This window comes from Homo sapiens, chromosome 13 (genome assembly GCF_000001405.40).
Source record: "Homo sapiens chromosome 13, GRCh38.p14 Primary Assembly".
Classification (NCBI taxonomy): Eukaryota; Metazoa; Chordata; class Mammalia; order Primates; family Hominidae; genus Homo; species Homo sapiens.
In genome coordinates, this window is record NC_000013.11 from 69,731,170 (window position 1) to 69,758,450 (window position 27,281).

General features: G+C 33.8%; 1 protein-coding gene across 4 annotated transcripts in view; it reads right to left on the reverse strand.

The window, feature by feature from the left end:
- Positions 1-27,281, reverse strand: part of KLHL1 (kelch like family member 1) — a 407,856-nt gene that overhangs the window by 30,573 nt on the left and 350,002 nt on the right. For all 4 annotated transcript variants that reach the window (NM_001286725.2, NM_020866.3, XM_017020678.3 and 1 more), the window contains one exon: positions 9,225-9,387. In NM_001286725.2, the coding sequence (NP_001273654.1) occupies positions 9,225-9,387 (163 nt within the window). The remainder of the gene's footprint in view (positions 1-9,224; positions 9,388-27,281) is intronic.

Consider the following 27,281-nt stretch of genomic DNA (forward strand, 5'->3'; position numbering starts at 1 on the left):
AAAGTGACAATATTAACACAAATGAACATAATTTTTCTATGAATGTCATTAAAAGGCACAACGGAATAAAAATTGTATTTGAGAGGAGTGAGAAGCAGAAGGTAACTACTTCATATAGAAACAATTCCAAGAAATTACTTTTAGAAAATTTGCAGATAGGACTGAAAGTTGGTAACAAAATATTTTAATTCCTTCTAGAAGTCTCAGTATTCCTCAGAAGGTAATGGAAGAACAACCAACCATTTTTTATGCAAGCAGCCCATCACTATAGGCTGTGTATGATTTTAACTCCTTTTCACTTCTACACAGCAGCCTTCCAAAGCAGTGGTGATAGTAGGATTTGGAGTTTTTCTCAGCAACTATAGCCAAAAGAAGTCTAGCAGAAATGGTTACAGATATTTTTTGATATTGAGAGTGATTATAGTGTAAAGTTCAATAGCGAACACTTTATACATTACTGCAGAATAAAGCTTTACCAAATACAAAAAAGAGATTGAATTGACAAGTAGCTATTTGCTTTAGCTTTTTGTGATTCTGGTTCACCTTTTCTTTCTTATCTAATAGCTTTTTAAAAATAATAATGGATATTGACACTAAGGAAACTTCTAGCAAAACATTTGAGAGCAGGATTTTGAGAGCAAATAAATGTACCTTGAAAAAAATTAAGAGACTTAAATATTATGTGACAGGGAAAATCACAAGTAGTAAATAGAAAAACAAAGTAAAACAAAGCATGTAGAAGTTTTTCCATCATATAAAAATATTTTATTTTTTGACCTAAAAACATATACTTTAAAGACTTTAAAGATGATAAAAAGACTTTAAAGATGATAAAGACTTGACAGATACAAGATAACACACTCAAAATAAGGTGGTTATAAAGGTGATTGGAAGGAGGGGAGTCAAATAAAGATATCGTGTAAGAAAAGTTAAAATGCAAAAATTTTAAGTCTGCATCGGAGATACAAACGATCATAAACAAATTGGCATTGATTGAATTCATGTATTTTTTTAACTGGCGAAGGAGACTTATGGCAAAGAAATCAGTCTTAAAACACACATAGAACCATTAACGTAAGTATGTGCTAAAATATATCTCAAATCAGAGAACTAGAATAATGGGAAAAGGAACAATTAAACAAACGAGTCTCAATAGACTAAAAACTTTCCTAAGCAGAAGAAAGACAGAGTTGAGATCGTTAAAATGAATCTCCAAGTAGTAATTTAAAAGAATGAGAAGTAGGCTTCAGATTGTACATCCAGAAACATTTTGATTTTTGAGGAGGAAGTACAAACTTTTTAAGCTGTTGTCTCTCAGGTCTACATCCTCTCCTGTATTTTCTGCTTTTGAAATAAGGGCTAAATCTCTGAAAACCACTTTTCTGCTTTGCCACCTGGTTCCCTGTTAGGATCTGACATCAGTGGGTGGCAGAGACTGAAAGACTAGAGGAGAGTAAAGGGTCTTGGTTTTTTGTTTGTTTGTTTGCTTTTTTTTTTTTCCTGTGAGTGTCACCCCATCCTTTTCTCACCGTAGCAGCCCTGTAGCAAGAGTTGCTCTGTAGCACCAGACACACCTAGTTTGCGGTTTTTCTAAGACACGCCATCGGCTTCATTGAGACTACTCTAAGCCATTGGCGCCAGCAGATTGGCATCTTCTTCTCAGAGCACTGGGTCCCAGGTCTTTCCTTCTGAGACTAGCTCCAGCTAAGCAGTGGCCCAAATAGCAGTTGACTGAATTTCAGTGCACAGGGCCCTTCCCCAAGCTTCTAAATCTTAATCATTTTAACCATGTCTTTTAGTTCTCCACCCCCAGGAGAGGTAGCTATTATTGTGAGTTGATTAAATTACAATATAGTGTTATTTTGTTGATTTTTGGTTAACTAGTAAGTTTTTTTACTTACTCAACAAAACTTTATATTTAATATTAAAATATCTTTGTTTAGAATAACTGATAAATGACTGTTCTGATTTCTGGCTCTTGACTGAATGTTAACTAATATAAACACAGTAAAAACATCTATAAGAATAAAAGTTTGGGTTATACAAACACATATGAAAGATAAAAAAAAAATCACTGAACTTACATATCTCCCCCACTCCCCCAAAAAGATAGAATGTAAGTAAATAATATCTATTGAATTTTAAAAATACAAGGCAGAGATATTAAATTACTTAAGCTAATTTGCAAACAATGTGAGAAGACACAGGAAAGTCCCTTTCAGACATAGAATCTAATAAATTACATAATCAACACGTACTTACTGGAAAGTAATAATAATAAAGTGAGATGCATTCACTTGGAAATGATTAATTTTCAGAATACATGAAGAACTCCATAAATCAAAATGAAAAAGAGAACACACAGAAATAGAAACAGAGAAAATTTTGAAAATAAACTTCAACAGAAGATATACAAATGACTAATACATATATTAAAGATGTTTGATCACATCAGTTCTTAGAGAATGTGATAGCACTAGTCATCAGAATGGATAAAGATAAATAAAAGACAAGTCGGATGTTACCAAGTCAGTAGGGCACATGGAGCATTCAGAATTTAAAAATCTGTTAGTGTGTGGACAAATTAGGAAAACCACTTACAAACACATTTGAGCAGTATCTACTAAAGCTGAGCACAAGAATAAGTAAAGCCTAGTAATTTAAGTTCTAGGTCTACAGCCAGCTAAAATGTGTATGTACATTCACCAAAAGATATACATAAGAATATTCATAACTGCATTATTCTTAATAGTCAAGAAGAGGAAACAACTGAAATATCCAACTACACTCAGTAGTTGAGTGTAGGAGAATGAATAAATTAAATTGTAGTATAATAATTGACAGAGTTTGGATGTGTGTCTCCACCCAAATCTCATATTGGAATGTACAGCCCAGTGCTGGAGGTGGGGCCTGGTGGGGGTAATTGGGTCATGGGGGCAGATTTCTCATGAATGGTTTAGCACTATCCCTCTTGGTACTGTCCTTACAATAATGAGTGAGTGCTCGTGAGATCTGGTTGTTTAAAAGTGTGTAGCACCTCCCACCTGGATCTTTTGCTCCGACTTTCACCATGTGATGTGCCTGCTCCCCCCTGGCCTTCTGCCACCATTGTAAGTTTCCTGAGGCCTCCCTAGAAGCTGTGCAGATGCCATCATCATGCTTCCTACATAGCCTGAAGAAGTGACAGCCAAGTAAAGCTTTTTCTTTATAAATTTCCCAGTTTCGGGTATTTCTTTATAGCAATGTGAGAATGAACTAACACAGTAATAAAGAAAAATAAACTCCAAGAACTATTAATACTATAATTTGTTAAATTCTGAATTTAAAGACGAGTAAGTAGAACTAAGTCAAACGAAAATTATTAAGAAAATAAGAAAGAAAATAAACATAGCCTCCGTGTATGCTTGTTTGACTAAAAATAAAAACAAAACCATATAATGACACTGGCAAATGCTATGACAAGATGAAATTAGTGATAATACTAACAGAGAAAAATAACAAATTAGGACAATCACAATATAGAATGAAGATACAGCAATACTAAATAAATGATTTGTGGCAGTGATGAAATTAGAAGTGATATGTGACTGCCATCTGTTAAACTTTAGAATATCAGTAAAATAGAATATTAAAGGTACTATATATAATAGTGTCCATAAAACTTCTACTGTCATTTCTTTCTCATGCTCAAGAAAATACACTTCTCATGATTAAAGTCAATTATAGCAGATAAATTGTAGAAAGCTTCTTCATGCCATGATGTTATGCTAAAATAAGATTTTATATCATAATGAAGAATGTTGTGAAATCATTTATAAGCAACTTTGATGCAAAGTCATAGCTGGAATATGGAATGCAAAAATTAAAGAATTAATGCAATATGAGCAAGTAGGATTTACTTAGATGTGTAATATGATTTATAGTTAGAGTATTTATGCAAATTACCACATAAACAGATCAAATAAGAAAACAATCATCATCTTGACAAATTCATAAAATGTATGCTAATTTTAGAAAATAAAATTTCCACTATGGAAGCTACAGACAATAAAATACTGCCTTTAACCTTAATCAATATATGTATCTCAAATAACAACTGATATCAGAGACTATAAAGCACTATAAAGGTTTTCAATTAAAATAGGTAGATAAGGACACCTGATATCACTACTATTTAGGTAATCATTCTAAAAATATAAACAACACAATAAAAAGGAAATAAATGTATATTAAGAAAACAGAAAAAGTTTCCTTACTAGTTTATTAAATGTTTATCTTTCTAGAAAATCTATTATAAATTGAATAGTAAATATAACATATGCATTTAGTTAAATGGTTATATATAAATTATCTTTTATAATTTAATTATGTAATTATTAATGTATAAATAGATATAAATAAACACATAATATGTAAAATATTAAAAAATATAAATAAACATGAATAACCTCAGAAAGAAAGAATAACCATGCCAAATTTAAACAGCACTAAAATACAAGGAGAGTAATTTTAAAAGATAAAAGTACAACTATCTTCTCAGAAGAAAATATTAATATTTCAAATTTAGAGATCCCACATCTTTCTCAAATTAATCTGTAAATATTTATTTACAGGGAAAATTCTGAAGGGATGTTTAAGATGACTTTTTAAAATCTGAAAAATGTATACCAAAGTTTAATTTAGAGGATAACTAACTAAAAGAAATTTTGAAAAACAATTATTATAAGAAATATGCCTTACCTTTGCATTAAACAAAATATATAATGTGAATATGTATTCATTGTATATGTGTATCTGTGTGTATGCACATATACAGTGTTAAGTCACTTTTTATGAGCAAATTCAACAAAAACAAAGATAAATAAATGGGACTTAATTAAACTAAAAAAGTTCTGCACAGCAAAAGATACAATCAGCAGAATAAACAGACAACGCACAGAGCGGAAGAAAATATTCCCAATCCATACCTCCAACAAATGACTAATATCCAGAATCTACAAGGAACTCAAACAAATTAGCAAGAAAGAAACAAACAATCCCATTAAAAATTGGGCTAAGGACATGAATAGACAATTCTCAAAAGAACATATACAAATGAGGAACAAACATATGAAAAAATTCTCAACATCACTAATGATCAGGGAAATGCAAATCAAAACCACAATGGATTTAACCACCTTACTCTTGCAAGAATGGTCATAATCCAAAGATTTAAAAAAAACAGATTTTGGCATGGATGTGGTGAAAAGGGAACACCTTTACACTGCTGGTGGGAATGTAAACTAGTACAACTTCTATGGAAAACAGTGTGGAGATTCCTTAAAGAACTAACAGTAGGATTACCATTTGATCCAGCAATCCCACTGCTGGGCCTCTACCCAGAGGAAAGAAGTCATTGTACAAAAAAGATACTTGCACATGCCTGTTTATAGCAGCACAATTTGCAATTGCAAAAATATGGAACCAGCCCAAATGCCTATCAATTAGTGATTGGATAAAGAGATTGTGAGATATATATATGTATATATATATACACACACCATGGAATACTACTCAGCCATAAAAAGAAATGAAATAATGGCATTTGCAGCAACCTGGTTGGAACTGGTGATCATTATTCTAAGAGAATTAACTCAGGAATGGAAAACCAAACATAGTATATTCTCTCGTAAGTGGGAGATAAGCTGTGAGGATACAAAGGCATAAGAATGAGACAATAGGAGGGAGTAGCCAATATGGGAAATAGAAACAGCTCTGCTCTCGGCTCCCAGTGAGAAGGAAAAAATGGCAAGTGAATTCTGCATCTTCAATTGAGGTACCAATTTTCTCTTATTAGGACTGACTAGGTGGTTGGCGCAACCCACGGAAAGTGAGGAAAAGCATGGTGGAGTGAAGGTCCACCAGGAGATGTACAGGGCACTGGGAGCTTCCTTTCCTAGCCAAAGAAGGCAGTGAGGGATTGTGCTACCCCTCCTTGAAAACTATGCTTTTCCCATGGATCCTTGCAATCCACAGATCAGGAGGTCCCCTCATGAGCCCATACCACCAGGGCCTTCAGTCACAAGCACAAAGCTGTGCAGACTCATGGTGGCTGCTCGGGCAGGCAGCTGCTGGAGCAGGCACTGGACACAGGAGTATTTGCATACTTATGCTCTGGAAACTCCCATGAGGCAGGAGATCCGTCCACTCCCGTGGGAAGGAGGCTGATGCCAGGGAGCCAAGTGGCCTCGCTCCCACGGAACCCCACAAGCTAAAACGTAATGGCTTGGAATCTCTGGCGGCCAGCACAGCAGGCTAGAGACTGCCTAAGAAGATGGGTTCCCAGAGAGGGAAGGGCTGCTGCCATCACTGTGGCTCCAGTCAGCTGTTTCCCTCTGCTGCTGGTGCCAGCAAGACTGGGCGGTCTGGACTGGGAGCAAACTTCTCACAGGGGAACACAGTGACTGGGTCAGTTCGTGGCCAGACTGCTTCTTTAAGCAGGACCCTGATCCACTCCTGCTCACTAGAGGGGGCCTCCCCATGGGAATTTCAGCATCCCCAGCCAGGGATTTATGAAGAGAACTCTGATATCCCTGAGAGGAGCCCATAGGAGGAGGGGCAGCTGTAGTATCACGCATCAGTGGTCTCAGTCTTTTCTGGCTGCTGGCTCTGGAGAGTAAGGGCAGCCCAGACGAGGGGGATTTTCCCCAGCACAGCACACCTGCCCCACCAAGCTGCAGTCAGACTGCTTATTTAAGTGGGTCCTTGATCCTGCTCCTCCTGACTGGGTGAGACCTGCAAACAGAAGTCTCCAGACACTTTGTACAGCAGTGTTCAGGCTGGCATCAGGTTGGTGCCCCTCTGAGACAGAGCTCCATGAAGAAGGAGCAAGCTGCCATCTTTGCTAGTCTGCCGCCTCCAATGATGGTATCTCCAGGGGCGGGACGGACCCAGGCAGATAGCATCTGAAGTGGACTCCCACCAAACTGCAGCATCCCTATGGAAAAGGGGCCTGACTGCTAAAAGAAAAACAAACAGAAAGCAACAACGACAACATCAATGAAAAAGACCCCATAAAAACCCCATCCAACAGTCAGCAGCTTCAAAAATCAAAGGCAGATAAATCCATGAAGATGAGAAAGAATCTACACACAAAAATGCTGAAAACTCAAAAAGCCAGAGTGCTTCTTCTTCTCCAAATGATAGCAACATGTCTCCAGCAAGTGCACAGAACTGGGCGGAGGCTGAAATGGACGAATTGAGAGAAGCAGGCTTCAGAAGATGGGTAACAACAAACTTCACTGAGCTAAAGGGTTATGTCCTAACTCATTGCAAAGAAACTAAGAACCATGATAAAACACTACAGGAGCTGTTAACCAGAATAACCAATTTAGAGAGGAACATAAATTACCTGATAGAGCTGAAAGTCAGTCACAACAGAACTTTACAATGCAAACACAAGTATCAGTAGCTGGATAAGCCAAGCAGAAGAAAGAATATCATAACTTGAAGACTATCTTGTTGAAACAAGGCAGGCAGATAAGATTAGAGAAAAAAATAACAAAAAGGAATCAACAAAACCTCTGAGAACTATGAGACTGTGCTTAAAGACCAAACCTACATCTGATAGGGGTACCTGAAAGAGATGGGGAGAACAGAACCAAGTTGGAAAACGCACTTCAGGATATCATCCAGGAGAACTTTTCCAACTTACCAAGACAGGCCAAAATCCAAATTCAGGAAATCCAGAGAACCCCAGTAAGATATTCCACAAGAAGACCAACCCCTAGACACATAATCATCAGATTCGCCAAAGTCGAAATGAAGAAAACAATGCAAAGGGCAGCCAGAGAGAAAGGCCAGGTCACCTGTAAAGGGAAGCCCATCAGACTAATAGCAGACCTCTCAGCAGAAACCCTATAAACCAGAAGAGACTGGGGGTCAGTATTCAACAGTTTTAAAGACAATAATTTCCAACCTAGAATTTCATAGCTAGCTTAACTAAGCTTCATAAGTGAAGGAGAAATAAAATATTTTTCAGACAAGCAAATGCTGAGGGAATTTGTCACCACTAAGCCTGCTTTGCAAGAGCTCCTGAAGGAAGCACTAAATATGAAAAGGACGAATTGTTACCAGCCGCAACGAAAACACACTTAACTATACAGACCAGTGACACTATGAAGCTACTACATAGACAAGTCTGCAAAATAACCAGACAGCATTATGATGTCAGGATCAAATTCACACATAACCATATTAACCTTGAATGTAAATGGGCTAAATGCCCCAATTAAAAGACACAGAATGGCAAGCTGGATAGAGTCAAGATTCATTGGTGTGCTGTATTCAACAGACCTATCTCACATGCAAAGACATACACAGACAAAATAAAAGGATGGAGGAAAATTTATTGAGCAAATGGAAAACAGAAAAAAGCAGGGGTTGCAATCCTAGTTTCTGACAAAATAGACTTTAAATCAACAAAGATCATAAAAGACAAGTCCTTGAAGAGGATTGACATATTGTTTGCATTTGTAAAAGGATTTCTCTGGAAGCCTTCATAAATAAGACTGAAGAGAAAATAATTTAAAAGATCAGACTAGAAGCTGTTGCAGTTTTCTAGACAAGAGGTGATACTAGCTTTGTTTAGATCTGTGGTTCTCATGGGGAAGACAGGGGCTGTATTTTGCCACTTCCCAGGGGATAGTAGACAATATCTGGAGATATTTTTGCGTGTCACAATGAGGTGGTGGGTGAGGGGCATCTAGTGGGTAGAAACCCAGGACACTTCTAAACACTCTGAAATGCACAGGACAGAAGACTTCTTTCAACAAAGACTCATCTAGCCTCAAATATCAATAGTGTTGAGGTTGAGAATTCTTGATTTAGAGGGATAGGAATGAAGATGCTTGGAAAGTAAACTAGTGTAATTATGTAAAGAAAGATATATTGAACACCAAACTTTTAGTAGTTTTTTGAAGGCTACTCAACTATTTATTCAAAAGTGATATAAATATTCCCATGAAATGTATTTGATACTTCTTTAATCATCAATTAATGTGAAGCAATTTTGGGTTCCGTTGTCTATAGAGAGAGCACCAGTCTTTATTTGTCAATTTAAAAATATCAACAGCTTAAAATGTTTTAAAACAATTTTTACCAGCTTATTAAAACTTATTTTTCAAATAATATTTACCCAATAACTTTTTTTCTAAGATTAAAAAATAAGAAAAAAATTTACTTACTTGCCATTCAATGCTGCTACACCAACTGTGCTCCGAGCAATTGACATACTGGCTACAAATGTCCATTGTTGACTCTGTGGATCCCACCTTTCCACTGTATTCAGATAGCTCCAGCCATCATGGCCTCCCACAGCATAAATAGGGCCTTCAAGTACTGTTACACCTAAAATATTAGATAAATGAATGTAGTGCCTATAGTTAATATCATATTGTACATTTAAAAATCTGTTAAGTGGGTAGATCTCATGTTAAGTGTCCCTAACATAATAAAATGAAAAAAAATTAAAAATTGAATAGATTTATTTCACAGTGAGATTTTAAAAATCAAAGCAACAGTACAAAACTATGAATTCATTCAGCATAGACTTCAGTTGTTAAGAAAACTATTACAATCTCATAGAAACTACCTACCATTAATTGAATCATTCCATTAAAGTGAAAACAAAATTGGGAGCCAAAAATAGTATTATGACCTAGATGCTTTATAAAATAATACTAATTCCCATATTTATGACCATATGAAGAAACAGATACTAAGAATCAAAGGTAAGACGTCTTGGGCCTCTACTTTTAAAGAGCATTTCTACACTGCTATTTAAAATACTTTGTTACTTACAACAATGTTACCTTAAAGCAATGTAATATTACCAATCTGAATTTCAGAATAGTATTTTCTGTGCTTTGGTTTCCCAAAAAGGTTAAAATAAACTTATGTAAAGCTTAGAAAATATGACATCTTTCATATTATTAGCTAAAATTACTAAACACAAGCAATTAAATACAATTAATAGAGAGCCATCCATGGGAAGATATATATAACTAGTACTCATTGCTTTTCTAGTAAACTCACATCTTCATAAATAAATTTTCTTAAATGCTCAACAGTTGCTAAATATTTAAATATAATGTAAATATTGATTGATGTGCTCTTTAGCTGTACAGAAATTCTGATGAATATTTCCTAAAAGGGTACAATTTGAAGCCTGATTATAAAGAAGTCTGAAGCATCTGTGAGTTTTACCCTATTACCAAGCTGACAAATTAGACTGCCACAAATTTATGCATATTGATTAAGACATGACTCCTAGATCAAAGAAGAAATACAGTTTATTACTCATAGCAACAGCAATAATCAGAGTACCATCAATTTTTGTTTCTGTTGCTGGTTCCCCACGCCCCAATTCCCATAGGGTGATCCAAAGAAGGTAATCAAAGTGACCTTACTGTTTCCCTTCTCTTGATCAAACTTCAGACAGTTTTGTCCTGTGTCTAGAGCCCTGACTTCATTTTCCTTAGAGCATTTACTTTAGAAAACTTATAACTGTAAATTATTTCTCTGCTTCTTTGAGATGTAAATCTTCGATAAAACCTCTTGCCAGTTTCACAACCCAGGACTATCTTTCTCAAGGACTCGGGAGCTGCAGTTCCTTTGAAATTTAGTCATTAAGATATTCTATCTCCCAGACTCCTGAAAGTATAGGAGCCTAATTTCAGTTGGTACCTTGCTGCAAGCTATAAAACTACTTTTTGAAATAAAGACAGAAGAAAGTTAACCATTCTTTTGAGTAAGGCCAATTAGCAAACACAGATCGCTTATGATCCACCTACCCAATCTAGTTCCCCAAAACTCTACCACCTTTGTTTTAGAAGAGTTGAGTTCAGTCACAGTTTTATCTTCTCTTCCTGATTGCAAGCCTTCAATAAAGTATTTCTTGCCTGTTTACAATTGCCTCATAAAATTTTGCTTTGAGAAGGGTTAATTGAAACCTGTACATGCAGTAGATTGTATTATAGAAAAGAACTATAATTTATAATGGACAATAAAAATGCATACCCATTGCTCGGGAAGGAGATATTATCTTTATGCTTTTAAGCATGACTGCATTTTATTTTGGAGACAAGAACTATCTCTCTGTTCTTAGTCTTTCTGTTAAAATAACCTCCTTTTAAATATATTCCGGAAAAAAGGACACTCAGTAACTTGACTTTAAAGATGTGCAGAAATATGAGAGACCCATGAAGAATTGTCTCCCAAAACTGATGTGAAAATAAAATGACAACTCATTTATTCATTCATTCATTTAACTATTATTCATTGAATGACCTTTATGTGTCAGGAATTATTATTGGCACCGATGACACAGTGATGAATTAGGCAAAGTCTCTGCCCACAGTGAGCTCCTATATCAGTCAATGAATCAACTAAAATGGAATAAGTACATTGTTCCCAATAAGTAAGTATGCTTCACACATATTACACAATTATACAATTATAATTTAATACAAAATAAATGTAGCCAAATAGCATTAAAAATGTTCTACAACACACATTCAACTTAGGGATGTTATTTTACACAACTCTATTCATATGGAGGGATCGTGTTTTGAGTGCAGGCATAGTTAAAATTAAAAACCATAAACTTCAAATCTTGTTCTTTCATTAGGTAGCTTGACATAGGAAATGGGGATTAGAAAGGATAAGTAAATGTGAAGGTTGAGGTTATTTCAAAAGGATATGATATATCTCATAGGCTTTTTAGAGAAGTATAGGTAGATATTCACATGTATCAACAATAATTAACTAGATGGAGACTAAAGTGAAAACATCAGTGAAGTTTTCAAAGAGATCCTGAAATCAACTTTTTACTGAGCACCAATTAGATACAGAGTAGACTTTAGAATACGTTGTGTGCCTTGGGTTGGGTAGAAAATATTTTGATTGATTTATGCTCTTCTGGAGAATATGATATCTATCTGAAAGGACCAGATCACTAGGATAATTTAATAAACTTAATAAATTTGAAGTTTGTTATAAGAGCAATGGAAAATCACTGAGATATTTCATAATAGGTATGTGATTGCTATGACATTTATTCTGGATGTTTTGTAGCAAATTGATTGGAGTCAGGTTAGGTGGCGGTAGGGAGATGATTAGAAGAAAATTTCAGAAATTCAAAAAGTACAAGGTAGTAGATTGAATTAACAGGTTTCAGTTCAAACAGATAAAAGTGAAAATATTTGAAATATACTCACATATATTCTGGGAGTCTTGCTGTTGGAATTTACTAATAGAATGTATAGGGGTATATGAATAGAAAGAACAAATCAGGGCTGGACGTGGTGGCTCACGCCAGTAATCCTGACACTTTGAGAGGCTGAGGTGGGCAAATCACTTGAGGCCAGGAGTTCGAGACCAGCCTGGCCAACAAGGCAAAAATCTCGTCTCTACTAAAAATACAAAAATTAGCTGGGCATGGTGATGCGTGCCTGTAATCCCAGCTACTTGGGAGGCTGAGGCAGGAGAATTGCTTCAACCTGGGAGGCAGAGGTTGCAGTGAGCCAAGATTGTGCCACTACACTCCAGCCTGGGCAACAGAGTGAGATTTTGTCTCAAAAAAAACACCAAAAAACAAAACAAAACAAAAAAACAGAAAAAAAAAAAAAACAGAAGAAAGAATAAATTAGGGATAAATAAATTGGTTAAATAATTGGGTAAATTTTAAGGGTAGAAAAGTTTGAAAATTATTTTTGGGGAAAGCTTGAGAACTCTATTTTGGATATATCATGTTTAAAGGGACTATTACACATTTAAGTGGGGCAAATAAATAGGCAGTTAAATATACATGCCTACAGTTCAAGACAATGTTAGAGGTATATGTAAAAGTGTTGGAGTTATCAGCAATTATATGGCTTTTAAAGTCGTAGTCCTAGATATAATCAGTTAGGAAGATACTATGAAGAGAGAATGTAACAGAGAACATAATCTAGCTTTAAGTAGCTCTAGTATTGGTTACATGAAGAGAAAACAAAGAAAATAGAGAAGAAATGGCCAGATAGGTGAGAGAAAAATCAGAAGCTTTTGGTATTTGTAAAGTAACAGTGGAGAAAGTTTCCAGGAGGATGGGCTTATCATTGGCTTTCATATTTCTGACCAACTGCATATTTCCGTAGGATTTGAAAATAGGTTCTGCACATGGTTTAATCCATTCTGGTTACTACTTAGTGATATATCCTGTAAACATCATCCATATGTGTCTTGTTTTTCTTAATTGCTGAGAGGTTACATGACTTTGTATAAATGTTTCAAAGTATAATATATATATATTACATTAATATACAATATATAAATACATATTAAATTACATTGTATATGTAATGTAAAACATGTAAGTGTTCAGTTTGATGGTATTTTATCACAAGAATATCCCTGTATACCTATATCACTTCCACTCCAAAACCTCTCATGCAACTTCCCGAAAGGTACACCCCCCCCAAAAGCTAACCGTATTTTTTTCAGTTAATTCCTCAAAGAATAAGTTTTTCCTGATTTGAACTTATAAATTAAGTAATATAATTTAAAAAATTATTTAAAGTTGTTATCTGTGACATTTTTAGTCAGAAATTAGGTGAGATGGTAACATTTTTAAATTGCAAATATTATTACAGTGTATGATTATGCCACTTTTATAGCTCCATTCTATTGTTGATGAAAATTTGCATGGTTTCCAGTTCTAATATTTTAAGAATAAAGCTGCAATGTACACTTTCTTGATGTACATATGAGTTCATTTTACCCAGATGTAAAATTTCTGGGTCATAGAATATACTTACATTGAAATTGAGTAAATGCATCTAAAAAGCTTTCCAGGTTTTTTTTTTAACCAATTTTTATTTCCCCCAGTAAAGGAGAGGAACCCCGTTGTCTGATAATCTCTCCACAACTTGTCACTGTGAAACATTTTAATTTTAGTCATCCTGATGAGTGAGTAATGGTATCCCATCATTCTGTTAGTTTTCACCATGCTGATGACTGGTAAAACTAAGCATTTGTTCATGTGTTTTTTGGCCACTTGAATCTCCCTTTTTGTGAAGGCCTGTTAAAAACCTCTTCATTTTTAATTGGATGTCTCTTATTATTAATTATATCATTTTATCAATTTGTAGTAGTTCTTGTAATCAATTTTAAATATGGATATAAATTGTCAATTTTAAAAAGTATACTTATTAATTCTTTGTTAATATTTGCATTACAGATCTTTTTCCACTGTGAGGCTTGCATTTTCACTTTCTTAATCTTGTCTTTTGATGAAAAGGAGTTAAGTTTACTTGATTTAGGAAAAAGATGTTACTGCAGTAGCAGAAAAAATATTTTTTTAAAGCAATAATGTTGGTGGAATTGATATCCACAAATATAAAAATGGACCATGACCAATACACAAAAGTCAATCTAGATGGATCATAGGATTAAATATAAAAATTAAAACAATAAACTTTTCAGAATATAATGGACAAGCATAACTAAAATAGATAAGCATAACAATGACTATTGAGGAAGACAAATATTTCCTGAACAGAACATGAAAAATACTTGTTCTAAATTTTAAAAAATTGTAAACATAAAAATTAATATCCTTTTGGTATTTCATATGAATTTTTAATTTTTTTGCAATTTTCTGAATTTTCCCCCAATATCCTAATGAAATATCAATTGAGATGGTATTGAATACACAAAATTTTTTAGATAATTAATATCTTTACAACATTGTCTCTTCTAATCCAGAACACAGTACATAGCTTCATTTTATTAAGATTTTAACTTCCGGAGTAATGTTTGTTTGAAATTTTTATTAGAACTTTTTTATATATATTACTGAAATGATCACTTTGCATTTGATTTCCCTATGCTATTGCAATTGGCATTTTTAAATTTTCTATTTGTTTCATCAATAAATAAAAAGAAAATAGTTCTTATGTATTGACTATATCCAGTAGCCTTGTGAAATATTTATAAATAATTGTCATAATAATCCACATTTTTTGTATTTTCTATGTATACAATTATGTCATCCCAAAATAATACCAGTTGTATTTCTTTCAATATAATTACTATACATTTTAGTTCTCTATTTTGGCTTACTTCAATGACATTATATGGATACATATTTGGCATTTAAAATTCTTCTTGCTGAATTGATTGTTAAATATTTCCTTTTATTTAGTAATGCTTACTGCTCTAAAGTCTAATTAATTTAATTAGCTACACTAAGAATTATATAAACTCTGATTTATCTAATTAATCAGCTACACTAAGGTTCTTTCGGTTACAATGTGCTAATCTTTGACTTTGGTTATTTAATCTATTTATACTCAATGTAATAACTGATTTTATTTGATACAATTTTAATATTTTCTTACTTGTTTAATCAGTTTTTTTTCTCATTTTCTTTCTCCAGTATTTTTGTTGTTGTTATTGTTCTATGGGTAAAATATTTCATTTTTTTCCTTTTCCCCGTGTGTCACCTTATTGTTGAGAGAACGCAAATGATTGAGTTTGTCAAACAGGTAGTCAGATTATCACATAAGGCTCACACAAATGAGAGACCACAGTCACAATCAAGATTTACTAATAATAGCAAGGAAAAAAGGTATTCTGAAGCATATGAAAAACTGATAGATGTCTAGAACTTTTCTGTCTAGGGAATTCCTTCCTTTCTTTCCAGGGTCTTGATGCATTTGTGTAAGCCTCCATAAAAAGGTTAAACTCTAATTACTGCCTCTGTCATTCAGAGACTGTAGCCAGCCCTAGCTGCCAGATTTCACTTTGATTTTTTGACTGAAGAAAGAAGAAACAAATAAATTTCTCCAGAAATGCATGGAGAAAGTCGAAACAAATGTTGAGTTAATCTTTGTACTCTTTCCATCTCTTTCACATCTTGTTCTCAAGTCCAGGCTTCCTTAGTTTCTCTCTGATGACTTTAAGAATTTGATTTGTTTTATTTAGCTTTTACAGTTATACATATTAGGAAGCTTACTCAGATAGCAGATACTCCATCAGGGCCAGAAGTTAAATTTGTGAGTTAGCTTTTAACTTTATTTTTAATGTAAACATTAGATAATGTAATATAATCTATTGTATTGATTGTCATTGTTTTGGTTTTTGTTTATATGTCAGTAAGAGTTTCCTCCAGTGCTACCATTGATATAGTCAAGTTTCTATTTCTCTCTATATTGTAATTTATTTACTTTAAACTGGGGACAACTAGAATAATTATCTCATGGTATTATGATGAAGATGATAAGAATTAATATGTAAAACACTTAGAACAGAATCGGATTCATTGCAGTCACTCAGTTTTTGCAAACCATTGTAATTGATATTGTTGTCTTCATACTCAAGCCTCAGGGACAATATAAAAAGGAAATTCATGAAAGAGAATATATATAAAGGTCCTATAAGCATATAAAAATGTTCAATAGAATTAGTAAGTAGAACAACCAGGATATTAAAATAAAACATCTTTAGGAGAAAGTTTTAGCCATCAAAAAACTTTAAAGCATGACAATATCAAATGTTGCTAAGAACATTAGGAATTGAGAAGTCTTATATATTGCTGATGAATTGAAACTTAGGAACACAATTATGAAGATAAATTTAACTATTCTTAGTGAAAATATTGTAATCTAGCTTTCATAGAAATATGAAATATTTTATAATTAAAAATATATTACTATACACAGCAAAATATACTAATTAAATACAAGGACTAGCAAATATTTAATATAATAAGCCAAGGAACATTTACATTATCCATTAATCTTTCAACACAGGTATCTATCCTTTGCTCTAAATACTAGAAAGTTTACCATCTCTCTACTGGAGATACAATAGAGCCTATATTCTAGAGGAGAATACAGACAATAAACATATAAATATTGAAAGATTTATATATTACTATCTTTTAATTAACCAAAGTATTGCCAGTGAGACTATCAGAGGTGGCGACAGAGCAAAATGCAAATGAGTTCTGGTTTAGGAGTCTTCTTGGGCCCAAATCCCAATCCACTGTTGCCGCTTGTATCAGTCCGTTTTCATGCTGCTGATAAAGACATACCTGAGACTGGGAAGAAAAAGAGGTTTAATTTGACTTTCAGTTGCACATGGCTGAGGAGGCCTCAGAATCATGGCAGGAGGTGAAAGGCACTTCTTACATGGTGGCAGCAAGAGAAAATTAGGAAAATGCAAAAGCGGAATCCCCTGATAAAACCATCAGATGTCGTGAGACTTATTCACTACCATGAGAACAACATGGGGGAAACCGCCCCCATGATTCAAATTATCTCCCCCTGGGTCCCTCCCATAACATGTGAGAATTATGGGAGTATAATTCAAGATGAGATTTGGGTGGGGTCACAGAGCCAGACCATATCACCACCAGTATGACATCAGAGAACGATATTTAAATGTTTTGTGTCCTAGTATCCTCATCTTTAAAGAGTATATAACTCATAGTATTTGTGTGAAGATTAAATAGAAAATGCAGATAACAGTGCTCGGCAAATGATAAACTTTTAATAAATTTTAGTTGTTAAATAAATCAAATGGTCAGGATGGTCTGTCTTAGGGGTGGTCACTAAATCTAAGAAATTAAGAATTGCAAGCAGAATGATAGAGCAAGTATAAAATATGTCATTACTCTCAAAACTTAAATTCCTCTCTCAAACATCTCTAACTATAATTAAATTAAATTGTTTAGCAAGTAACATGTTCCCAGGATTGTTGTTTATTTTAAATATCTATGTTTTGAAAGTATCCATGTTTTCCTGGAAAATATTCACACTTTATGCTTCCACATTATAAAGGAATATATTTTTGTAGATTGCCACAATATTTCCAAACTCTAGCTGCCTTATTATGTGATTCTCATATTTCTTGCAGCTGTGATGATTTCCTTGCAGAATGGGCTCATTAGGTAGGGTGAATAATTGGACTAGAATAATTTCAAAATCAAAATGATACATTCAACTACTTCCTAATGGTTACTAAAAATATCTTTATAGATGCAGCAAGGTTATGAGTTTAAAAATATTTTTCTGTGTTATGTTCAGTATCAATATTAAAACTGCATTCTAAAAATAATTATCTAATAGAAAGAAAAGAAACATCTAAAGTCATTTTTCATACAACTCAAGCTTAATAATTACATGATGACTTCTGATAATTTTTAAAATGTCTTTTAGATGTTTTATGTTGCCAAAATGTACTTTTTCCAGTACATATAATTATTTATAATTTTTGGACTGTAGCTTTTTGCATATACTCCCCTTGAGAATTCTGCAGCAAAATATTTACCAGAATTTTTCTATAGAAGTTTTTAAGATAGTTTATTGAAAGAAACAAACTATCGTTAATTTTCATGTAACATGGCACATGTTAAAATCAAATATTCCCATATGGGTTATAGAACACATAACTATATCCAATGAAGATGTTGGCCTTCGAATATGGAGAAGGAATTGAAGAAGATAATCTGTCTATACAGATCATTCCCCATAATGCTGTCACATTTTAGCAAAAGGTTGAGCCTCCATAATTTCTCTGAAGCTAATTGTTATTTCTGTATCAATGCAACCAAATTAATTTGTTCTGAAAAAGAAATTATTATTTTTCTTTACACTTGTTAATATTATCCATTCAGAATATTGCTAAATATATTCTAAGCTCTAAACAGTTTCAATAAAAAAGGGTTTTAATTATGCAAAATAATAACAATGAAAAGCTAATTTTTAGTATTGCTTTACTGTTTGCCTGTTAGCCATTAATTGTATCTTAATTTGAAAAGCATTAGCCTGTAAAATGTATTTCCTTTTGTCTAGGTAGAATATATTTATTTTAAATTAATAATAATGTATTTAAATTTATTTTGATTTAATCATTGTATTAAATTACTAAATTATTATTCATCATATTAGTCACAAAATATATCTAAGTCACCAGTGGCTTCATAATATATATATGACCTTCCAGGTATAACTTATTTAAAATCTTCCTTTCAAAATAATTTGTAAAAATCGTCATCGTGTATAAAGTATCACCCAGTAAATATGTAAAATCAGTGATTAGGGTGACTGAATTCCAATGCTCTCAGATAGTTTTACTTCAGAAACAAGAAATAATTTAAGTAATAGTTCATAGAATTGAACACTTCAGTGTTTTTCTGTGCAATGAATTAAACAAAATAACTTGCATATTAAGGAAAGAAATGGATAAGTAAAATTATACATATTTTATATAAATTATAAAAATTTTCCAGTGAGATATTAAATATACATGTATGTGTGTATATATATGCATGTGTATATATATGCATAGTTTTCACAAAAATCACCCCCAAAATATATAAGCATATAATATACAATATATACAAGCACTCTATATAAATTTCTATATCTGTGTAAGTACTATGGAAATATTAACAGATTGACTCATATACTATTTTAAAATGCTGATCATGGGCCTAACACAATGTAGTGTTTTGTATAAACAGTTTTCACATAATTCTACTAAATTATGTAGCATTAAGATTTTTTTGCTTGAGCCATAGAAAAAAATGTAATTTATAGCATTTAGATATAATTTATTTCATTCTTTCTTTGGCTGACAATAGTGATTATCCATCGTGGTTGCACATTGAAATCACCTGGGAACCTTTGAAAAAATACATCTGGAATATGGTGATTCTAATTTAATTGAACTGGGATGAGGTCCAGACACAGAGATGTTTAAAAGTTCCCTGAGATGATTTTTATGTACATTCACAATTGACAATAACTGCCACAGTGAAACATGACAATAGTACTAGTATCATTGCAGAATGTCCCCAACCAATAATGTGCCTACTCTACAAGCCTCTAATATCTTTCATTCATGTCATGTGTGTATGTGTGTGTGTGTGTGTGTGTGTGTGTGTGTGTGTGTATCTGTGTTGGGAGCATGTGGGCATGTGTTATGTGTAGGTGTATGAAATCAAGGCTGTCAGGTAAAGTTTAGCAGTTTGCTAACTTTCAATTTTATTGTTATGCAACTTGCATTTCATGGATTCATTCTTCATCAATCCATATTTCCAATACTTATGATATGCCTTCTATAAGTTCATACCCTCACAGAACGCGTACAGGTGGATATGAAGGGAAAAGACAGGACTTGCTGAAGGACACAAATAGGTGCTACCTTACTACCTGTCCATGTGACAAAAAAAATGGTTCTTGTCCAAGGTGAAAAGTGATGACTGAGCTAATATCTGGGGGAAGATTAAGATTTATGTGGGGATGAGGAATTCTTGGCAGAAGAAACACTCGTGTTGTGATAAGAAGAATTAGAGTATTTCTGAGGAACTGAAAGAAGGCCGATGTGGCAAGAAAACTGGAGAGTCAAGGAAGAGGCAGAATGATGTACAATAAGGCTAAATGGTTAAAAGACCATACAGTGTGGGGCCTTGTATGCCAATATGATTTATTTTATCCTAAGAGTAATGTGAAGTTACTAATATGTTTTAAACAGAGACATGATGTATCTGCCTGTATTTTTCAAAAAATGTCACACTGGCTATGGTGTGGAAAAATGAGAATAGATGTGGCCATGCCAAATAATGTACGTGAGAGGTGATAGTGTCTTGCTTGTCCTGATGTGATGCAAGTTGACATAAGGAAAAATGAAGGACTCAGGAAATATTTGCAAATTAAGAGGATGTATTTCTTTGCTTACACTCCTCCCTCATCTATCCATCAACACAGCCTGTTATTCAAAATTACAACCTGGCAATGTGACCTTGGAATCATTATTTAGCTTCTTGTGCCTCAGTTTCTTATCTGCACAATGGAGTAGCTATAATATCTAACCCATAGTGTTGTTACAAGGATTTAATGAAGCGATATATACAAAGCACTTAGAAAAGTGCTTGGCACATCTTTAACATTATATCAGTATTCAATATGTTGAAGATTATCATAGCAATGTATCAAGAACCTACATCTTCTAACCAAGCTTCAGTCTATAGTATCACTGTAGAGATACGAGAAGAGACTATTGAAGGAATCAGTTAAAGATTTAACTATTGCTAATGCACCCCGTTGCCTCTATTTCTGAGGACTCTATCTATGTTTGATTTATCTAAGCAATTAAAAATATTGTTCCAGAATCTTCCACAAATATTGTCCTGTCAAAAATATTTTAAAAAGTAAATTAGCAAAATATATTTTGTTAATTATATTAATATGTATCATGAAAATCTCAAGGATGATTTCATGTGGTACGTAGACATTGTTTTAAAGTGCAATGTTATAACATGAAAATAAAACAAATAACAATCGTTTGCAACTTTGGGATTCTAGCTCTAAATGTCAGCTTTCCATGTAGCTAAGAGTTGTTTTCTTTTAAAACAAAAATCACAGTTGAGGTGACATTGGTAAGTGCTGTAGGGCTTACAAGCTCCAATGGGAGATATCTCAGAAGATGAGGCCACTGACCTGGGGGTTTAAAGGTTGGGTAGAATTTTGACAACCATAGATGCAAGTCATTTTAAGTGAAAGGAATCACTTGAGCGGAACATAGAAAAAAACTCAGGCTATATATGGCCATAAGCGAATAGGTATTTTATAACTGGCTGTTGTAGCAACCATTTAAGTGTGCTCACTCATAACTGAATACAGCCTCTCCGCATCCACTGCTGCCTTTGCACCAAAGCCATGCTTCTTACTAACCATTTCTGGAGAGTGACTATGCATGGTGGAATTACTAATGCAGGCCCATTCTTTTAAGACGTGGGTCTTCCTGAACTGGAGACTTTGCCTCTAGGATGCCTGGCTGAACTTTTCTTGGAAGTGTGTTGCAGTCTGAGATTCTTCCTGCCCAATCCTCCTTCCTCCCATTTTGCCTTCATGGGAGTTAGTTCTAAAGTTTCTCCCCCACTTTCTCCTGCTCTCTTCCTCTCTGTCTTTCAGGAGTGTTTACTGTAATAAGTCTTAGGGACTCTTCTACTCAGTGAACCCAAACCTTCATAGCTGTTAAAATAAAAAGGCTGTAAAAAAGGCTGAAAGAAATATGTTTAGTACTAGGACATAAAGGCTTTGATAACCAATTGAAGTAAAAATTTTATGTGAGACTCAGGAATCGAGTCAGGAATTTTCACAAGAGGATGACATCATTAGAACTGAACTTTCATTCGTTTAACCTGGCTCCAGCCTTTAGGACCATTGCAGGGAATATGTGAGGAGACAAGTGATGATGCTGTTACAAACAAAAACAGAACTTTTCTGTTTAAATGAATGAATGAAGATGACAAAAATAATACAGATGGGAGACAAATCATAAAGATAGTATTAGTAGGGCCAAATCTAGATTTTATTTTTCAATATGACAGATAAATCAAATGAGAATATTTGTTAATTTTTTCCACAACAGAAATTGAGTTTAAGCTATTCTATTCAATCATTGGCAAAAACATTAAAAATTCAGTAGGTGTAATGTTAATGTCTAGGCAATTGTCCTACTTGAAGATTATTCTCTACTGTATTCTAACAGGGTTCTGTTGACATACACAGGATTCCGTGTATACCAATATTAGCATCTTGACATTCCATGTTCATTTTCCATAATGGCATAGAAATAATTGAAAAAAAAAATTTTGAGACCAGTCTTGCTTTGTCACCCAGGCTGGAGTACAGTGGTGCAATCACAGTTCACTGCATCCTTGACCTCCCAGGCTCAGGTGATCTTCCCACTTCAGCCTCCCAGGTAGCTGGGACTAGAGGCGTGTTCCACCATGCCTGGCTAATTTTTTTTTTTGTTTTTAGTAGAGATGGGGGTGTACCTTTGTTGCCCAGGATGGTCTCGAACTCCTGGGCTCAAGCAATCCACCTGCCTCAGCCTCCCAAAATGCTAGGATTACAGGTGTGAGTCATTGCACCCAGCCAAAAATTAATATTCTGAATGTACTTCAGTAGGAGCTACCCTTTAAGAAATGATAGGATTATTAATAAAATTAATGAGACTCAATATAATTTTCAGGACAGCCAACTCTCTGAGAGTTGTAGTAATTATTCTCAAAAATATATTATCACATATTGATGTTATTCAGGGATGTTAAAAATGTAAAGTCCCAAATACATGAAATGCAGCTATACTTCTTTTCTCATTTGTTTACAATTTAATAAGGGACAAGGACATATCCTTTTTGTATATACAAATATCCGAACTTACCATAACACCTACCAAACATTTGAAGCTCAATAAATTTTGGCAAATAAATGCACAAAGTTTGTGTCATATGAAAATTGTTATTATTATACATCTTCCAAATTTTAATATTTTACTTTCCAACTGGATTGTAAGCTTTTTAAGAACAGGGCCTGTGTTTTACACTGTGCACTCCCCATAGCACCTAATAGACTTTCCTAACTCCAATTCATTCTTCATATTGCCACTAGAAAAAAAAATCATCCTAATACAAATGCCATCAGGCACCTTCCTGCTCATATCCATGTTTAACATTCTCTCTGTTGCACAATGGCTTTTCTTTTTATCCTGGCCTTACACCATTGTTCGAGTCTTATTTTTGTTACATTTCTAAATCCTTTATCATTTGGTGTATTTTGCTATTACCCGAATGTTCCCTGAATTTTAACACTCTGAACCTCAGCTTATCTGATGAAATTCCACTGTTCTTTCAGATCTGACTCAAATGGGAAGTTTTCTGTAAGGTTCTCTATTGTTTTAGTAAGATTTTCTTCTTCCTGCATCTATGACCCTGCAATACTTTGCTTACTTGAATCCTTATTATGAGATGTTACAGACTGAAATGATTTGGATATTTATGTCCTCCAAATCTTATGTTGAAATGTGATTCCCAATGTTGGAGGTGGAGCCTGGTGGGAAGTGATTGGGTCATGGGGGTGGATCCCTCATGGGCTTAGAGTCATCCTCTTGGTTATGAGTGAGTTCTAGCTCCTTGAGTTCACAAGAGATCTGTTTGTTTAAAATATTGTGGCACCTCCCATTTCTCTCTCTTGATCCCACTCTTGCCACGTGATACACCAGCTTCTGCTTTGGGATGAAGGAAAAGAGGAAGCTGGTGTATCACGTGACAAGAGCTTCCTGAGGCTTCACTAAAAGGTTTGTGGATGCCAGCATCATGCTTCCTGTACAGCCTGCAGAACCATGAGCCAATTAAACATCTTCTCTTTATAGATTACCCAGTCTCTGGTATTTCTTTATAGCAGTTCAAAAGTGAAATAACACACAGGAACATTGCACAATTTGTAAACATATGGTATTAAAATATTACTTATGTAGTAACATTATACAAGCTTCTACTTTATATTTGTTATATATTTCAAATATGATAGATCTGAATTAGTAGAGATATTATTTTAATGTAACTAATACATCTTTATATTTGAATTCATCTCCAAAGTAATTTTAAAAAAAAAGCACTGCAGAAAAAAGTTAATTACGTAATGCATTTCACGTTAAAAAGTCATTCAACAAGATTATCTTGCCTCAGTCAGATGTACAGCCCATTGCTTACCCTTTTATTGTATTTCAATAATTGCTAAATTAGATAAAATTGAGGAAATTACTCTGCATTTATAGTAAATAAAATGAAACATGTGGGTAGTGGAAAAATCATACGTTTTGAAAGCTGGCTGTTTGCATTCAGCCTAATCACTTATTAGCTGTGGGATTTTGTGAAAATTTCTTAATCTTTTTGATTCTCGCTGTGTGAATCTTGTTCCCTGAGAGTATTTTGTCCCAGGGGCCTCACTGTTTTTCCTTGCCATTGGGCCGTTAGTGGAATTTATTTAGTTTGCCTCAGTGTATTCCCCTTACTTCAGATCTGGATGATTTCCATCCCTTCACTTCAAAAGGAACCTGAGCCACATAAGTAAGTTGACCCCCACCCTTCCCAGGAAGCATCTTTCACCAAATGAGGCAGTTGTTAATAGTCTTTGTCACACCCTTACTCCAAGACCATAATATCTACATATGTTGAGGTTGGATAACTCTGTGGCAGTTATTGATAATTTATGTAGCCATACCTGATACAGAAAGGGATAATACTAGTGCAAAATATTGGGGGATAAAATGGAATGAGTTTGAAGACTTCTATATATTTTAATATTAGATTTTGTGACTAAAATGAATTTCTGATCAATATTTTATTGATTCTTTAAATTCTTTATGGTCATCATTAACAAAAAACTTTGCCCTCCAATAGTAGCAATTTGCAGAAACTACTTTTTTGTTATGAACCAGACTCTGACAATTAATTTGTTTAAATTGAGCTTTTAAAACTTGCTGTATATATAAACACCAAAGTAATAATCACTAAATTCAGAAAGATTTTAGTAGAAAAGAAATGTGAAAAATTAGAAAAATAGAAAACTTAAGATTCAATATGCTAAATTAACATGGTAAATTAAGTAACTAAATTAAGAATCAAACTATCTGGGATGATTCAACAGGATTGTTAGCTGAGGATTCCATGATGTGGCCTCTGTGGTGTTCTCCAGCAGTTTGTATAAATCCCTATTGACAGAAACAATTATAACTAAATGTATTAAATATCAGAGAACCATGAAAATAATTCAAAGATAATCCACATGTGAACAGTTAGTTAATAAACCCCCTTTGTCCTGCACTGGCTAGGAATCTTTAGCAAAGACAAAAGTGTCACTAAGGTTATCCTTTGCAAATATCATCAACTTTTTTTGTAATTAAACAGAAACAAACAAACAAAAAAAACTCCAGTTATTAGGCAAAGTATCTGGCAAAGTATTTTCTTGGTATTCAGTTAATTCTTGTCCTGCTTTGGTCAGCATTTTTTATAAACCAGTCAGTCTCTTCATTAGAATTCTGAGAAATTTTACCCAGTCCAAGCGATATGATCCTAAATCTTTTAGAAACCTACATTCAAGAATACTTATCAGAGTCCTTTTTTATCATTTCCGTGAACCTCCTTGAAGACACAAAACTTTAGGATTTTACTCACTTGTAAGTAACTTACAGAAATGCATAAGAATATGAACAAGACCACATATGGTCATTGTTAAAGATGCAATTAACAAGACAATTTCATTATTTCTGTGGCCAAAATAATTTAACATAATAATCAAAATTTTGACTGATAAAATATATCAAGACATATTCAAATTTTAGGAACCTTGTAAAATTTTGGAACACATATTAATAATATATCCATAAAAATTTAACTCAAAGGTTAAGCATCATGTATTATTTGACAGTAGTCCCCATATAACTTAATATGTCAGATATGAATGTTTATTATTTCTATTTTGGATGCTTCAGTGGCCCTCTGGGGCAACCCAAATGAAGTTAGTTTGAAGTCAGGAAGACTTAATTTTAGAATTTGAAATTTGATTTGGGGATGGCTGTCAAATAGGTTAAAGGTTTAAAGTACTTAATCAAATAAGATCACATGTTGGCCTGGCAGTGGCTTACGCCTGTAATCCCAGCACTTTGGGAGGCCGAGGCCAGAGGATCACCTGAGGTCAGGAGTTTAAGACCAGCCTGGCCAAACCCCATGGTGAAATCTCGTCCCTACTAAAAATGCAAAAAATTAGCTTGGCGTGGTGGCAGGTGCCTGTAATCCCAGCTACTCAGGAGGCTGAGGCAGGAGAATCTCCTGAACTCAGGAGGCAGAGGTTGCAGTCAGCCAAGATTGTGCCACTGCACTGCAGCCTGAGTAACAAGAGCGAAACTCCATCTCAAAAAAAAAAAAAAAAAAAAAAAAAATCACAGGCCATTGCAATAACTATCATTCATTTAGCTAAAGTGGTAATAAAAGGTTTTTTAAAAGTAAAAACCTTTATTTTCTGATGGAGATATTTAGTTTTTCAAACCATCAAACGATCAAAAAATCTGAGATAGCATGAAACAATCCATCTCTTCTCTCTCCTTTCTTTTTTGGAGTTTACTCAAAAGGTGAACAAAAATCTTTCACTATCTCTTATTAATGATGATATACTAAATTCTTGTTCAAAAGATAAACCAATTTTTACTTTTATATTAGTGTATTATCAATACAAAAGCTAATTTTAATAATCCTATAAACCAATTCATTTAATCCTGGTCAGCTTTTGACCACACAAGATAAGATTTCCGTAAACCTTTTATAAGTTCTTATAATTTTTTTCTGTTTTCCTCAACTTTTTAGATCCATTTTGTTTTATCTGTACCATTTTTTCCTTCATTTTGAAACA